This window comes from Homo sapiens, chromosome 4 (genome assembly GCF_000001405.40).
Source record: "Homo sapiens chromosome 4, GRCh38.p14 Primary Assembly".
In the NCBI taxonomy this organism is placed as follows: domain Eukaryota; kingdom Metazoa; phylum Chordata; class Mammalia; order Primates; family Hominidae; genus Homo; species Homo sapiens.
The window spans coordinates 176,702,398-176,719,524 of record NC_000004.12 but is presented as its reverse complement, the minus strand read 5'-3'; the positions used below and the strand labels follow the sequence as shown (position 1 = coordinate 176,719,524).

Genomic DNA, 17,127 nt, shown 5'->3' with positions numbered 1-17,127 from the left:
GGTCGAGGCATAAAATTTCTGAAAGCAAGAATGCAGTGTTCCTACATTTTTACTAATATTCCAAGTTCTGAAAACGTGTACTTAAGTAGCAGCTTTTCCTGAGTTTATTCAATTTATTGCATTATCAGTGTAGTATGAATGGGAGTGTGTGATGATTTCCTTCAAATATAAAAGGAAATTTCTTAATGCTGTGTTTTCTTAAGGTAAAAAAAAACAAAAAAAAGACTTTTCGTTTTGTTAAAAGAGTTCCAGGCACATTTTGTAGCAAAGCCACCAATTGGCATGATGTAAATTGTAAGGACAATGTACCTTAGGTAATGTTAAACTCAAGTTTTTTATAGATACTTCATAGAAATGCTTTTTTAAAATGGGACTCAATGAAGGGGAGGTTATCAGGGCGTGTGAGGAAGCCAGCTGTTCATTGAAAAGTAAAAGCATATGCACTGTGCATTCCAAAGTATACTAATGGATAAAAACTGCTTCAAAGTTCTCCACACAAGTATCTAAGTGGCTTTGAAAAGTTAAGTAGATTGGATGTCTTTTCAACCTCTTTCATAAACATACACTTTGAGTATATTTTCTTATGAGAAGTTGTATGTTTAAGAGATATAACCAAAAAGTAGAAAATGAATTTTGCAGGGGGTAAATTATTTGGTGATGAAAGCAGAAGCAGAAGAAAGTCATCTGCTTTTGAGGCACACATTTGGATTAAAAGTTACTTGAATGTTAGTATTTACCTTATATATTTTACTAAATCTAGGAAAGAATAAAGAAAAACAGCTCAATCTCTAGAGTCTTCCTGAAAATGGTGGGGTTAAATCAAGCTCAAGGAACTAGAAGTTCTTTGCTGTGTTCATTAGTGCCAGACTAAAGAAGCCAGTTTAGTTAAGAAGCTAGCTTGCTATGAGCTAATTCTGATACATAGAAGCAGCATTATTTTAAATTCTACATTGCCATCTTAAAAACAAGCAGCTACTTCTTTTTCATTATTTTATAAAGCAATAATATGAGCAATCAATAATATGAGCATGTATATTAACAAAGACATGCTCGATTATATTTAAGTTGGATGTTTCATAAAATTTTACAACAAAAAATATTTAAACCTAAGTAAAATATGCAACTATATAATGAAATTAGAGGTATTATTTTGCACTGCAGTCAGAGATATTTCTTCCATTAATTAAACAGAATACTGCAGCAGTCTGGAAGATTAATTTATTACATTCCTTTGTATTCAGCAAGTGGAACGTGATTTGTATTGTATCTTTAGCAAGTTAATATTTGGCAAGCACAGTTTTTGGAAATCAGGTTTTATCCTGATGTGGAAAAAGAACTCTATGCCAGTACCAGTTATCAGAACTTTCTTTAAGAATAACATTTGCCTTAAGAACATAATTAATGCATCTGTGAAAAATACCACTTTTTTCCAACCCAAGGTACAATGAGATTCACGTATTTTATTCAGTATTTCTAAAACTCTTCAATTGAGGTTTTTATTTTAATTGTGGTACTGTGTATACTTTTTATGCATAACAATATGTTAAAATTAATTCAGTACCAGATTTAAATCTGTTAGGCTATCTGTTATTCCATTTTCTTTCCCAAACCCAATTTAAGTTCCACAGGCCTTTTATAGCTGGCCATGTGGTTGCAATGCTAAGTCAAAATGCTAAGACCTTTTCCCATTTTGGGGCATTATTTCTTTAAATTCGTTGTAGTTTTAAAATCTGATTTTATAGTTATTAATCATATTCTTCTGGGGGTACATATATCTGTACTTAATGGACTAAAGTTTGGAATATTTAAATTTAAATTAAATATGGTAGTGAGATTTGTTCTGAAGAGAAACTGGTTATATTTAGGATATAATGGTGTTTTAAAGGAAGGCATTTTTTGTGTCATATTTGTATCCACACAAACATTACTTATAATTTAGTACTAAATTATAACTCAAGATCCTCTCAGTAAGGAAGTTCTACACCTTTTTCTTGAATAGCCAGCAAGATAAGTACGATTAGGAATTGTTGCTTTATAGCCGTTGCTATGCTGCTGTAAACAACCTATTGTTTCAAAATGTGGCTTTATTTGAAGTCCATTCTTGTTGGTGAGAATTGACTATTAAATATTCCTATTAAAGAATGCCAGTAGATTACAACTGGGAACCTCTCAGTTGGAAACACTTGCCATTTCCTCTTGTTTATTATAGTTTTACAGAATATACAGTCAGATTTTTTTTTCAGTTTCCAACCTTGCTTAAATGCCTTTTTTTATATGTCCTTTTGATCTTCTCCAAAACCAACAACTGGTATTATATGCCTAAAGTATATGTCAGGCTTCATAATGAATTGTATTATTACAACTTTTTTTGTGTCCTACATTGGACACAAGTTAATATTACTTATTGGTTCAGAACAATTCACTTTATTGTATAAAACTGTTTTAGAAAAATCATAATTTTCAAAATATCAAATTATAATAGATACATTATCAGTTAAATACATCATCAATCAGTATTTACTAAATAAACATACTTGGAGCTATTAGCTAGTGCTGAATAATACATAAATTTTATGTGCTATGAACTTAAATGTAGAACAGAAAATACTATTATATACACAATAAAGCACAAAATAGTCTGACAATAGTATCATGATTCATATTTTCTTAAAATAATCTACTTACTGTTTCAAACATTGATATGTTTGGATAGATCTAAACTCTTTTGAGAGGAAATTCTAGTTACTATGTTAGTTCAGATCATTATTAATGGCAAGAACAAATTGCATAAGGGAATTAAACTCCAGTGTTTACGGTAAGCTATTTGGTATTTCAGAAATTCTACCATAGTATCTCTCTCTGTGTATATGTATGTTCTCATTCACCCTCACCGTGAGGTCTCTTTTTTTTTCTTTTTCTTTTTTTTTTTTTTTTTTTTTTCGGAGAGGGAGTCCACCTCTGTTGGCCAGGCTGGAGTGCAGGTGCAGTGGTGCAATCTGGGCTCACTGCAACCTCTGCCTCCCGGGTTCAAGAAACTCTCCTGCCTCAGCCTCCCAAGTAGCTGGGATTACAGGCATCCGCCACGCCACCCAGCTAATTTTAGTATTTTTAGTAGAAACGGGATTTCACCATGTTGGGCCGGCTGGTCTTGAACTCCTGACCTCAAGTGATCCTCCCACCTCAGCCTCCCAAAGTGCTGGGGTTACAGGCGTGAGTCACCATGCCCCGCCCTCATTGTTAGGTTTCTGATCAGCATAGAGGCAAGGTCATTACTGATGACTGTTATCCTGAGATTCTAGCAAGGTGCTTGGTATCATGTAGGTACTGAATAAATAGTTACTGAAAACTAAACAAGGAAAGATTTTAAATAAAAATTTTAAAATTTAGAATTTCTTTAACAAAAATTTAACTAAATCTTGGCTGATGTGAATGATGATAAAGAACAAGAGAAAGAAGAGGAGGAAGAGAAATCCAAACATTACACTGAAATCACCATTATTATTATCCCTATTTTATAGGTAATGAAATGGAGGCTTGGGGAAGTTAGGTAATTTTTCCAAGTCTCAGAAGTAGTAAATTGAAGATCCAGGACTCTAATTACTGTCTGTTTCTCAAGACTAAGTAAACTCTTGTTTATTCTTACATACTTCGTGGAGTAGGGAAGTTGCCAGTGATTTGAAAATGTTATGTATTTATTTTGGGAGGGCGCCATGCAAGTTTATAATGCACTTCTAATTATTATTTTTTCAGTTCAAAAAATGTATATTTTCTAAGCACATACTATCTAGGAAAAAAAGCTTACGGAAATTCTTAGTAACGTAGGGATTAAATATAGCTATGTAAAAATTCACAAAGTGGTCTGTAAACAAGAAAATAGAATTTACTATATTTATTGAAAAGGCAGTAGAAACTGTAATCATGTCTAACTGATAAGAGTAAGTCAGTCAATATACACACATGAGACCAGCACAGAAAGAATTAGAAAAATTAAAGAGGCCTCTTTAGTATGTGACAAGAGCTGGTATAGGTACAATTATATCTTAATACATACCCAGATGGCATATTCCCAGTAGATATTACTAATTTTCCTGAAGTTGATAGATAAATAAAACTCAATTATCAAGACTCTTTCTACTTTTAATATTATCAAAGGTATCTTTCTCTGGACTCTTAAAATTTTTTCACACTGGTATCATCAAGTAGCAGGTCAAAATTTAGGGATAGAGGATGTGTTTCAAGAGAAGAACAAAATTTTTTAACTTTAATTTTTCAATCTCTGTTCCTTTTGACAAAATTAACTGAATTCAGCCTGCCAATTGCTACTTAGACACAAAAAAGAGAAATGAGACATTAGTTATTAAGATTTTGATTTTGATTCCTTTATGTTGTGATTTCCTTTATTTCCTTTAAGTAGTTAAACTGCAACAAAGATTTTTTTCTCTCCAACTGTAAAAAAGTCTTCCATTTTACCACTTATAAAAGTCTTCAACTTAGAGGAAAAGACAGTTCTCTAAACAGTGATTTGGTTTTAGTGCTGTTTTACCTGTCTCCTTATTCTTTTAGTCAGTGTATTCAAAAACACATTTCTTGCAGCCTTTGAAAGCATAGAGCCACACTTAGTTTTCCAGGAAGATGCTTTCTTAATGTGAATTAGCTATTCTTCATCTCACCAGAACATTCTTCAAAGCTGCTGTTCCTGAATTCATGCTTGATACCCATGGGTGGATCCTGATTTGTGAACATTATCTACCTAGGCATGGATGAGGTCTCTCCATGATCACTGATACTGCTCACGGCAATCTGTCTACCATTTGGAAAACAGGCTGGGGCAGAATCTGGAAGGGCAGCCATCAGTGGGAGCAGGAATGATGCTGCCAAGGGTTAGGGGTGGGAAAACATAAACTCTTCTACAATAGCTGTTAGTTATCTCAAATAGTGCCTTACCTTCACTATCAGGCTCTGTCCTGCCTGGTTTCACTGGAGACAATGCCAAATCCTGCTGTGCTTACTTATTACTTTGTTTTTGCATTGCTATAAAGGAATACCTAAGACTGGGTAGTTTATAAAGAAAATAGGCTTAATTGGCTTATGGTTCTGCAGGCTGTACAGGAAGCATGATGCTGGCATTTGCTCACCTTCTGGTGATGCCTCAGGAAGCTTGCAATCTTGGTGGAAGGGGGCGCTGGTGTGTCATATGGCCAGAGTGTGAGCAAGAGAGGGAAGGGAGAGGTCTCAGACTCCTTTAAACAACCAGCTCTAGCATGAACTAACAGGAAAATCTCACTTCTTACCGAAGGATGGTGCTAAGCCATTCATGAGGGATCTGGTCCCATGACCCATTCATCTCCCGCCAGCTCCCACCTCTAACATTGGGAATCACATTTCAACATGAGATTTGGAGGAGACACAGATCCAAACCATATCAGATTACAAACACTGTGCGTGTAAGCAAAATTGTTTCTGCTGGTCTGAGCCACTTGAGCCCTTTCCCACTAGTCACATGGAGCACCTCTTCTTGTCCCCCGTCTCCACTGCTGCTTCCTTCCTACAGCCCCTGCCCTGCCACAGCCCTTGGAACCACATCGGGTGCTGGTTATCTCCTGTCAATTCTTGTTACATTTGACTTCCCGAAGACATGTGGCCCTGTGACCACACACACCTGTTTGAAGCTCTCCCCTCTTTCTCTGGCACCCGTTGGCTTGACAGTCTCCCCTCCTGATGCTCCATCATTGTTATGCTTCTTCCCAGACATATTCACTAGTTCCTTTGCCTCTTCCCACCTCATAGATGTTCCTGTGCCCCAGGTTTCTATTCTTAGACATTTTCTCTTTTCATTTAGAGTGCTCATCAAGTAATCTCATCAATGTCCAAGACTCCAATTACAGCTTAAATGTTCATGACTTTTCAATGGCTCTCCTAAACTCTAGACACACATATGTGACTGCCTACTAGACCTAAATTCTTAGGTACACCTTCCTACCATCTACATTATTGCAGAGCTTAAATAATCAAATTATAAATTATACAAATATAAAAAATAAGTAATTTTATAAATTTATTAAAAATTGCTTTTTAAAACCACTTTGTATGTCTTCTGTAGTGCTAGTTCTTAATATAGATTCCATAGATGTCTTAAAAGATAGAAAAATTGTAGCTTATGAAGACACTGCAGAATTCTCTCTTAAAATAGGTATATATAGTGCAAAGGATTACTGCCATTGCAATATTTCACCTAATCAAAGATTTTATCCAACGTGTATAAACGGGTATCTTTTTAGATAAGAAACTGGTCAAAATCATAATAGTGGCATATGTTGAGGTCACATAGTGAAGTTATCTATGCAGATCAGACAGTATTGTGGAGAATACCTAGAATCTTGAGAATTTACACAAATAGTAATAACTTAGATCTGTATAGCAAATAATATACATATCAGATTCATTTAGTTTATGTAATCTTTATAATCTGAGAATAATGAGTCAAGTGTTATCCTTAGTTTACTGATTATCAAAGAAAAATACAGCTTGGAGAAGTCAAATGAATTTTCCAAATTTATGCTACTTATAAATGGGAGAGCTAATAAAAGCCACCTGTCTGGGTATAACCCTGTACCTATTTCTTCTAAAGCATATTGTTTTCTAAAGAAAGTAGTTACATTTTAAATGAATATATAAGGAATACATCTTGAATGAAGACAATATGCATTTTATAATTTACATATTTCTGTATTTCATTATTCAGAATTCATTTAAAAAGTCTCCTTGTTGGCATGGACAAAATTGGCAGCTAATCCTATCCCATAAATATTTTCAATGGTCTTCAGCTGATGGCGTGAAAGTTCAGCAAAGGCCAAGTCACAATGCTTTGAAGTTTGTCATCTTTTTTATCACTGCTCAGATTGTCATGAAGACACCAAGTAATACATGGATCAATTATAGTTAAATGACTGCAAGTTGATCTTATCAAGCAGTTAGTGGGCAAGATTTCACTTTTACCATTTTTTCTGGTAATGATTTAGAGTGTAAGAACACTAGGAATTTAAATCTACTTAGTTTTACTTAATCAATGATGTATTTGTTTATTTAATTTAAAACATTGTTTTTGGAGAAGGAAGAGAACACAAGAAGTTCTTGATCCATAAATAAGGCGTTCAGAAGGAGACCAGTTAAACTAAATTTTGACTGTAATTCAGAATTGTGTAAAATGCCCTACTTTATTTTAAGCTCATTATTTTCATAATTCCTTTACCAAGATAGCAGAAACATGGCTTTATCTATTAAATTATAAATGTAGTTTTTTTTGTTTTAAACATAATCAATTTATAAGAGATCTAAGACATATAAAACTACATTGAGGTAGAAATTTAATAAAAATTAACTTTACATCTATGTAACTTACGTCTATGTATTCAGTTTATTTAAAGTAGGTCATAACCAAGTATTTCTGGGTTGTGTGGCCAATAGCTTTGCTCCTAAATCACAAAGATGTTTCTGTGTGTGACACTTTTTAAATCCCTGGAATATTTTAAATGTTCATTTCAAATAATCTATAACTTTGAAACAGTTCTTTTTTCTTGAACACATTGTTCTGTCACGTCTAATAGGATAACCAATTAGTTGGTTATCCTAATTCTAATATGCTTCATAACTAGTGACATAAGATAAACATATGGAGTATTTATTACTCTGATAAAAGATACTGGTTAGGAGCAAGACAGTTTTTACTTTGTAATCATAAAAACATAGCGTCCTGCGTACACTAGGCAGCTACTTATATAGAGCTAATCTCACTCTTTTTCGGACTCCAATATTTACCATAAAAGTGCTTTACAGCATCTATATAATTTTTTCTTCTTTTTGTCCCTTCTTTGTAGTTATTTGAAATTACAGTGCCTCTCTCTCAAGGCCCCAAACCAGTAACAATCAGTTTTGCCAATCACACTTCCTGCCGATGCATGTCTAAACTGGATGTTTACAGACAAGTTCATTCCATTATTAGACGTTCCCTGCCAGCAACACTACCACAGTGAGTATGAATTAAATCTATTTTTTCTGCATCCTCTACTAATATTAAATTATTTTCAAGTAAACATAAGTTAAACAAATAACCTCTGTGAAATTTACTGTAATATACTCTGCTTCAAATACAAAACAAAGACAAAATTTTGTATAGTATACAATGAAAATAAACTGAAAATTAAAATTCAGTGGGAAGCGTATTTTAGAGGCAAAGTAATTCACAATATAAAAGAAGTATGTCTGTGAAATAAAACACATTCCACCAGTGTTCATAAAATATCAGTAAGGTAGCTTAATTGATTTAACATTCCTGAAATCAGGTATGCTAACTCATAAATCATATTAAAGTTCAAAACATTTCAGCCTTGATAAGATTTTAGGCCAAAACAAAAAGTAAATATAAATAATTTTATATCTATTAGCATTCAGTTGCTTTCTTCAATCTCAAACATAAAAATATATATGTGTGTGTGTGTATATGTGTATATATGTATCTCCATGTTTCTTATTTCAGCAATATTTGAATAGTGAAATAGTGCTTAATTACTTGAAAAAAATTTCTGTTAATATCATTTCAAATTGACATTCAAACCATTATTTGTTATTCAGGTTTCCTTTCCATCCTATTTTTTTGGAGGGGCAAATGGCAGCATATACCTCATGTGATCATATAGGAGAACTTATCACGTTCTCCTGTATGATCATGTTCTGACCCTGTGAATAGCTGATAATGAATTAATATGCATTACTGCCTAAGATCTGAGAGTTTTCTGCCCCAAAGTAGGGATGCAACCCTTTGTTCCTTAGGATATCCGGTGCATATGGATGAAACTTACATAACTCTAGCATTTGTAACAAATGTATAAATAAATTGATCAAAATACATATATATTACAAAAAAGAAAACCTTACATTTTTAAAAGACTCAACAATAAATGTAATATGCAAACCATGGTTTTCCCCACTGAATCACGTTGTACTACTCTGCTTAGTGTGGCAGATAGGGGGACCCCTTGTTTGTCCAGGGACAGTTTAGGAAAACCTGGAAGATAGCCTAATTTGAGTGACAGAGATCTGTCCCCTTTTATGTGAGAAAGCAAAGATCTTACAGACATTTGTGAATAAATGTATGCTAATACAAGCAAGAGACCACTACCATCTGAACTCAAGAGGATGCCGTATGTGCAATTTCATCCCCGCAGGCTAGAGAGTTCTGTTCACCTTCCTCAGCCCTGAGCAGAAGCCCTCAGTGACTCCTCCATTCTGAGAGCTTTAGCCATTATCTCCATACTCATGGCTTCCAAAATGACATTTGAAGATCTAACCATATTTTTGACTTATAATATTTTATCTAAATCTATCTTCTATTGCTTTGCTTGTAATTATATTAGCTGTAAGTACAAAGAGAAAGACTTGTTAAATCCTTTATTTCTACATTATTCATGGCAGTGTTTTCTCATTTTCTTTGAGGCCTTGAAATCACAGAGTTGTCATTACTTCTTCTTCTTCTTCTATCCCATCTAAACACAATTGATTATTTTGGAGGAGGGGGAGATATGTGTTCCAAGCTAAACTTATATTTCATTTCCATCACTGCCATTATCATCCACTTCATTATGCATGTCTCTGATCTAATGCAGTGATATTAATACTAGTTTTCAAGCATCAAGTCTTTCTCCTGTTGTATAATGTCACTGTTTTATGAAGTAAGCTTTAAAAGGCATCGTTTCATTCATCTCACCAGAAACAGTGACTTTCAGTTGCTCAAAGAACTGAGCACAAATTTCTCACCACCCTATTCTGGTGTCAGCCTTCCTTTCTTGTTTTGTCTTCCATTATTCACCCAGTCTGTGTTTCACCAAGTCCGATTCCCAGAACGCCAAGCTCATTTCCTGCTCTGTATCTTGTTTCTATTCTGGCCCTGGCTTGTGTTCTGCCTTTCCAAAGCCCTCTCCATTTCTCAGAGTTCAGGTAAAGGTCTTTCTCCTGCATTTGTCTTGTCCGAATACCACGGCCAACTTTGCTTCTTGAATACCCATAGCACTCACTGGATTAACTTCATCCTCACATGGCTTTATCAGGGTCTGCAAATGTTGCATGTGGAACTGGATTATGAGAGTGTTTCCAGTAAGTTTATATTGTCTGCAACATTCAGCTAACAACACTCAAAAATACTTGAGCCATTCCTGTGCTCTCAGCCCCTTTACCTGCATTGTCTGATTTAACCCTTAACAAAATCATCTAGAAGGTCAGCAGCAGCATTTGCCTTATTTTACAGATAAAGGTGGAAATCACACTCCAAAGCTGTTGGCTAAATAATGTACATAAATGCTTGTTAAATAAAATGACTCATTTCCTGGATGTATTTTATAGCATTTGCCATGTTTTCATCATTACTTATTCATATAACTACTATCCTATACACTGTTTGAGGTCAAGAAGAGACAGGAAGCTACAGCAAAAAGAGCCTGAGTCTTAGAGTAAGCCATACCTGATTCTGAATTCAGATTTGCCACTAATTCATTCTCTGTGATCAGGTAGGTGTTTTATGTCTCTGAAACTCAGTTTACTTATATATAAACTGTAAAGATGTAAAGAGGATTGAATGAAGTACTGAATGCTTATGCAATGCTTAGCAGAGTGTCTGGTATCCAGAAGGTAGTCATTAAAGGGCAAATTTATTATTACCATTAATATCTAAGTCTGATTCATTTCCTCACCCATGTGTTTTTCAGTATTTTTAAAACCACTATCTACAGTAAGAAAAACATTTTATATTCCAAACCAGGATGTGTGGTATACACACACATAGTGTGTCTCTGTGTATATATATATGTCGATATTAGAGAATTTTAAATTAGCTAGATAACTTCACATGTAATTAATTATGTATAAGCATAAAACTAAAACAAATTACCATTTAAAAATATTGTCCTTAATTATGGTGCTGCTCAAGCTTTCTCATTATCACAACCCCAAGGATCCTTTTATAAACATTTTTTCCCTAATCACTTTCCCCATAAAATTTTAATGTAACAAATATACTCTGTCTTTATACTATATGTATCTCTGTGCTTTATACATAAAAAGGAAGTGTAAAGTTTACTTTTTTGTTCAATGTAGTGTTAAATAACAAATAAAATGTTTAAGTTAACATTTAAATTAAAAATTTTTAATCTCTTAACAGCTAACATAAATTTATAATTGTATTTGCCAGGAAACTTTTAAGGTAATCTGTTTACTTATATAAATTGTAATATATCAAATTACATATGCAAAGTAACAATTGATATGAATATATAATACAAATATAATAATTTATAAAAACATTCAAAATCACTATTTTTCCAGCAAAAGTAAAATAATTTTTAAAATAACTTCTTTAAAAATATTTGGAGAGCTTAACTATTAACTTTGCTCAGTATGAGAAAACTTTTAACTTATATAGATGATAAATATTAATTTAGATATTGTCAACTTTTTCTTTTCATCATTTGACATGTAATGGTATGACTAACATTTGTAGAATTAATAATAAAATATAAATTATTATTATTTAATTCTCAAAGCTCAAGTCACACATGAAAACACCAAGGACCAAGCATAAGCAATATCCACAGGGCAACCAATGGCAGCCAATAGGCCCACATAGGTACCACTCAGTATATGTTTGAAATCACTCAGTCAATTAAGAGAAAATCCTCCAGTCATAGCCATCTAGTCACCATAATTTCATAGCTCATATATTGCAAACACTTGGGGTGTGTTCCGTTGCCAATGCTGTTCATGTAATGGCCAATAAAACCAAATAGAATTTAAGTATTAAGGAATATTATTTTCTTGGGTTTTGGAGAGCCAAAAATCATTGAGATATTAAGATTTTAGCCCCATCCAGGCCTCATACCCAATTTTTACCCCCTTAGAGATGATTTTACTCCCTTTATGAATATTTGCCTTATTATTACGTGTGATATACCCAAATAATTTTTCTATTCTGTTTTTCTTTGTGAAAATATTGGTCTCAACCCTTTATGAATTATGGCCCACAATTCAATAAAAGCTACACTAGTGATAATATATATATGATGGACATGTGACTATGTTATAAAATTCTAACATTTGTTAAGATTTAAGAGGAACAATCACCACCACGGTGGCTAAAATTAAAAACACTGACAAAAACAAGTGTTAGAATGTGGTGCAACCAAAACTCCTATGTCACCAATGGGCATTAAAATTGTTCAATCATTTTTCAAAACAGTTGACAGTTTCTTATGAATTTAACATGTACATATTTCCACACAATAACTTGTGTACAAATGTTCTTTATTAGTCAATAACTGGAAACAACTCAAATGCCCATGAAAGATGAGTGGATTAACACATCTTAGTATATGCATACAGTGGAACATTGCTGAGCAATGTAAAAAGAATGAACTACTGATACACACAAGAACATAAAAGGATCTCAGAGACATTAAGTTGAGTGAAATAAGCTTGGCTAAAAAGAGTACATTCTCTATGATTTGATTTACATGAGGCCCTTAAAAGACGCAAATGTACTCTAGAGTGAGAGAACGCAATTCAGTGTTTGTTTGAGGATTTGGATCAGGATTGACTGACAATGGGCAAGAGAGACATTGTGAGGTGTTAGAAACATTCTTTATTTTGATTGTGACAGTAGTTAATGTGGATACATAAACTTACGAAAAGATGATAAATTCAAAATAGGAGCATGTTATTGTATGCAAATTATTCCCCAATAAAATTGATTTTTGAAAAGCCTAGAAAAGAATTCCTTTATTAAGTACAATTTTTTAAGTAGCTTAGGTTTCAAATAGTAGATTTCTCTTTTTTTTTTTTTTTTTTTTTTTTTTTTTGAGACAGATTCTCACTCTATCACCCAGGCTGGAGTACAATGACGTGATCTCAGCTCACTGCAACCTCCTCCTCCTGGGTTCAAGCAATTCTCTGCCTCATCCTCCCGAGTAGCTGTGATTACAGTTGCCCGCCACCATGCCTGGTTAATTTTTGTATTTTTAGTAGAGATGGGGTTTCACCATTCTGGCCAGGCTGGTCTTGAACTCCTGACCTTGTGATCTACCCGCCTCGGCCTCCCAAAGTGCTGGGATTGCAGGCATGAGCCACCACGCCCAGCCAAAATAGTAGATTTTTTAAAACCTTTACAATAACATTTTAAGTCAAATCTTTGATTAGGGAGGGAGATTTCCCACAGTCATCCAAAAACTATACGTTGAGTCACTAAGATAAAGAATGCTTCTAGATCCTATTAGAGAAAACAAAGATGCGCTTGGCTGGCTCTGAACTTAGAGCACTTATAGTCAAGTAAGAACAACACATATTATAGTTACATTATTATTGTTTTATTTTACTAAATATTACAAAGCACCAAGCATCTGCCACACATTGTCTCATGTTCATACAAATACTGCCGGTGGCTCCATTCGTAATACACATCACATAGTACAAGGCTGAAGAGTGTGGATGCTGTAGGGAGCTTCCAGTTTTGAGAATTTAGTCTCTGATTTCTCTTTGAGTTTGAGTAGGTTCTGTAAACTTTCTTGTGACACATTTTTTTTAATCTACAAAAGAGCACATAAGTAAGAATGTTACATATAACATCATACAGAATATTTATAAGCTAATCTTCACTGAAATCAATCTGTTCAATAGCATTATACCATATTTGACATACCATAGCCATGTTAATCTGATATTGTAGAATAGCATAGTATAATAATAATAACTCCTAACTCAAGGATGTTGTGATCTTTATAACCAGCAATCCATGTTAAATATTAGCACAGTGCCTAAAACATATTAAGCATTCAATAAATGATCGCTACTATTTTTACTAACATCCTACAGATTTGGAAATTGAGTCTTAGAAATGTTAATGTGTAAAATGCTAAAGAGCCAAAAAAACTGCCAGGAAAATATAAAAATTAAAATCATTTTATTTCTGAAACCCATGTGTTCCCCCCAATATCTTCTAACATTTCTAGTATTTACAGAAAAACTTTCAAGTCTCAATATCAGAAAGTTTCATAAAAGCCAGAGGAAGTAGCAATTCTCTTTAGCAGACAGAGTTAGATACCAATTTTCATATTGGTGTTCTCACAGATTATTTTTTCCAATTATTTCCTCTCATATTTTCTTCAAATTTAACTCCATGTATTTCCATGGGCCCTTTAGTAGAGACTTTCTTTTCATGGAGGGAGTCATTTGTGATTAAGTAGCGATCCCCTAGATTTTCCTCCTTGGTAGTAGTGTTTGTTTATTCATTCATGAGACATTTATGTCAGGTCTTCTATCTCTATAATACTGTATTAGGAAATGTGGGGTATTTTTAAATGAATAATATAATTCTTTAGCTAAAATAACTCATGTACTAGAGTACAAACAAACAATATTTCTAGTATAGTAAGTGTCTAAAACACTATGCTGTACTTCATTCACTCATTCAACAAATAGCATTTGTGTTTCTGCTAGATACTAATAAGGTGGTTAGACCACAGAGATAGAAAGATACATAGAATTGTTACTCCAGAAGAAATTCCATTCTTGAACCAGACATGTAAACATATGACTGAAATCAGTGAAATCAGTGTGGTGAGGAAGCATCTTGGAGACATGGCTACAGTAGAGAGGGGATACATGAGTCTGGAGAGGTCAACAGAATCACATATGCCCAGCCAAGGATGGGCTGTTTCTTAAAGTCTCTTGAGAACTACTAAAAGTATATATGCAGAGATGTGGTATCTGCAGTTTTGTATTATAGAAAGAACAGCTTGGTGGCAAGGGAGTGTGTGGATTAGAGGAAGCAAAACGGGAGGTGGAAAAATTCGGGAGTAATCATTTGAAATAATCTGAGTGAAAAATAATAAAGATGGTGGCCACAGCAGTGGATATGGGGATAGAAAGAAAAGAGGTGGAAAAGACGTTTGAAATACAAGAAAGCATATGACTTGGGAACCGCATATGGGGGATGGTAAAGTGGGAGAAGTTGAGGATGAAACTGTATGGATGACATTCAAAAGACAAGGAGCACCTGTTCATAGTAGGAACTTACCTGAAAAGGAGAACTGAGTTTTTAACACATGTTAGCTTGAGTGCTTGTAATATTTGTAAGACATCAGAGTGGTAGAGTAATTGGAAGAGATGACCTCAACCAAAAGAAATATAGCAAGTAAGAAGACAAGATGAGCCACAGATGAAACTGTGGGGAAATCAATATTTAAGAAACAGTTATCTGTAGAGCAGACACAATAATCTGGAGAAACAGTAATCTGTACGGGAGACTGAGAAGAAGCAATCAGAACAATCGGAATAACAACAGAGAGAGAGACCACAAAAGCCAGTGGAGACATGAGTTCAAGGAAGGAGGAAGTGGTAAGAGGTGCCAAATATTAGAAAGGTTCAAGAATAACTGGGACTTACTCTGTTAGCTGAACAGCATGAAATAGAGATGTTTATTTACTAATAACTTACCATACTCTGGGCACAGAGAGGGAGAATGTGTTTTGAGAAAGGGGGAGAGAAAGCAAGACAGTGAAAGAAATTCACATTTACACATGAGAAACTGAATCAGAAAGGGTAAGTAAATTTCCCCAATGTCACACAACTAGAAAAGTAGCAAAGCAGAGATTCAAACTAAATTTGTTTGGATATAATCCATTTCTTTTGAGGTGTGGCTATGACTGCATTTTTATTGTTTTTTAGTTGATACATAATTGTACATATTTATGGGGTATATGTGATATTTTGATACATACATATAATGCGTAATGGTCAGCTCAGGATATTTTGGATATCCATCACCTCAAACATTTATCATTTCTTTGTGTTGTAAACATTTTAAATCTTCTAGCTATTTTGAAATATATAATAAAATATTATTAACTATTGTTACCCTACTGTGCTGTGGAATACTAGAACTTGTTTCTTCTATATAACTGTACTTTGGAATGCATTACCAACCTCTCTTCATTCCCCCCACAACTGACCCACACTTCCCAGACTCTAGTAACCATCATTCTACTCTCTACTTCCGTGAGATTCACTTTTTGGCTCTCATAAATGAGTGAGAACATGAGATATGTGTCTTTCTGTGCCCAGCTTATTTCACTTAACATAATAGCCTCCAGTTCCCTCCATGTTGATGCAAATGACAGGATTGCATTCTTTTTATGGCTAAATAGTACTCCGTTGTGTATATATAACAGATTTTCTTTATTTTTAACTTCTATAAATTAAAAAATATCAAACATCAAGGACAAAACAAAAACAAAACAAAAAAGTTCCCTTCTACCCCAATTTGAAATGTAACAACTATTTTTTTGTATTTACTAAAGATACAACCCAAATCCCCAGTCATCATTCTTCACTCTTCATTCCCAGAAGTAACCACCACTCAAAAATTGTATTATTCTCACTCTTCTGTATTTTTATGGCATCTGGATTTATTAACATACCAGAAGATATTATACAGTGCAGCTTTGAGTGTTTTGTATTTTAAGTTAAAATGTTGGCATTACTTTTTTTCTCTTGACATTATGTTTTACAGATATAGTCATATTGCTATCTGTACACCTGGTGTATTCATTTAATAACTATATAGCATTCCATTAAATAAACACAAGTTTTTATGTTTTTTTTATTCTGTGACGATGTACTATAGGGAAGTCAATATACACTACAGATTAGCAAGAGAGTACAATCAAAGAGGAGAGAGTGATGTCAAATAGACAAGGACCTTGAAGTTAATAGTGCTAAATTTATTAGTTATTTGGTTAGCATGGACAATGTCCCTAAAGATGTAATAAAATAACACGTTCTGTGCACAGTTAATAAACCAGGTTGATTTCAGTCTTAAGCTGTGAAAGCAATTGGATATTAAATGAAAACACAATACTGTGATTCTAAAGCTTTGAGCAGCAGCCTAGGGAATTTCACCTATTCTGTAGAGGTATTAGGGGAGCAGAGGTTGTTTCTGGGTAGAGGAATGATTGACAAGACAATGTTCAGCATAGCCAAGAAATCTTGAATTATTTTTAATGGATAATAAATATAGAAGATAGGTATTAT

General features: G+C 33.9%; 1 protein-coding gene and 1 long non-coding RNA gene across 2 annotated transcripts in view; one reads left to right on the top strand and one right to left on the bottom strand.

Moving 5' to 3' along the window:
* The window catches only part of VEGFC (vascular endothelial growth factor C), a 109,385-nt gene that overhangs the window by 73,398 nt on the left and 18,860 nt on the right, over positions 1 to 17,127 (top strand). The window contains exon 4 of the mRNA NM_005429.5: positions 7,875 to 8,026. Coding sequence (NP_005420.1) covers positions 7,875 to 8,026 — 152 coding nt within the window. The remainder of the gene's footprint in view (positions 1 to 7,874; positions 8,027 to 17,127) is intronic.
* Positions 13,382 to 17,127, bottom strand: part of HAFML (HuR (ELAVL1) associated fibroblast migratory lncRNA) — a 51,960-nt gene continuing 48,214 nt past the window's right edge. The window contains exon 3 of the long non-coding RNA NR_183975.1: positions 13,382 to 13,622. This is a non-coding gene — a long non-coding RNA (HuR (ELAVL1) associated fibroblast migratory lncRNA). The remainder of the gene's footprint in view (positions 13,623 to 17,127) is intronic.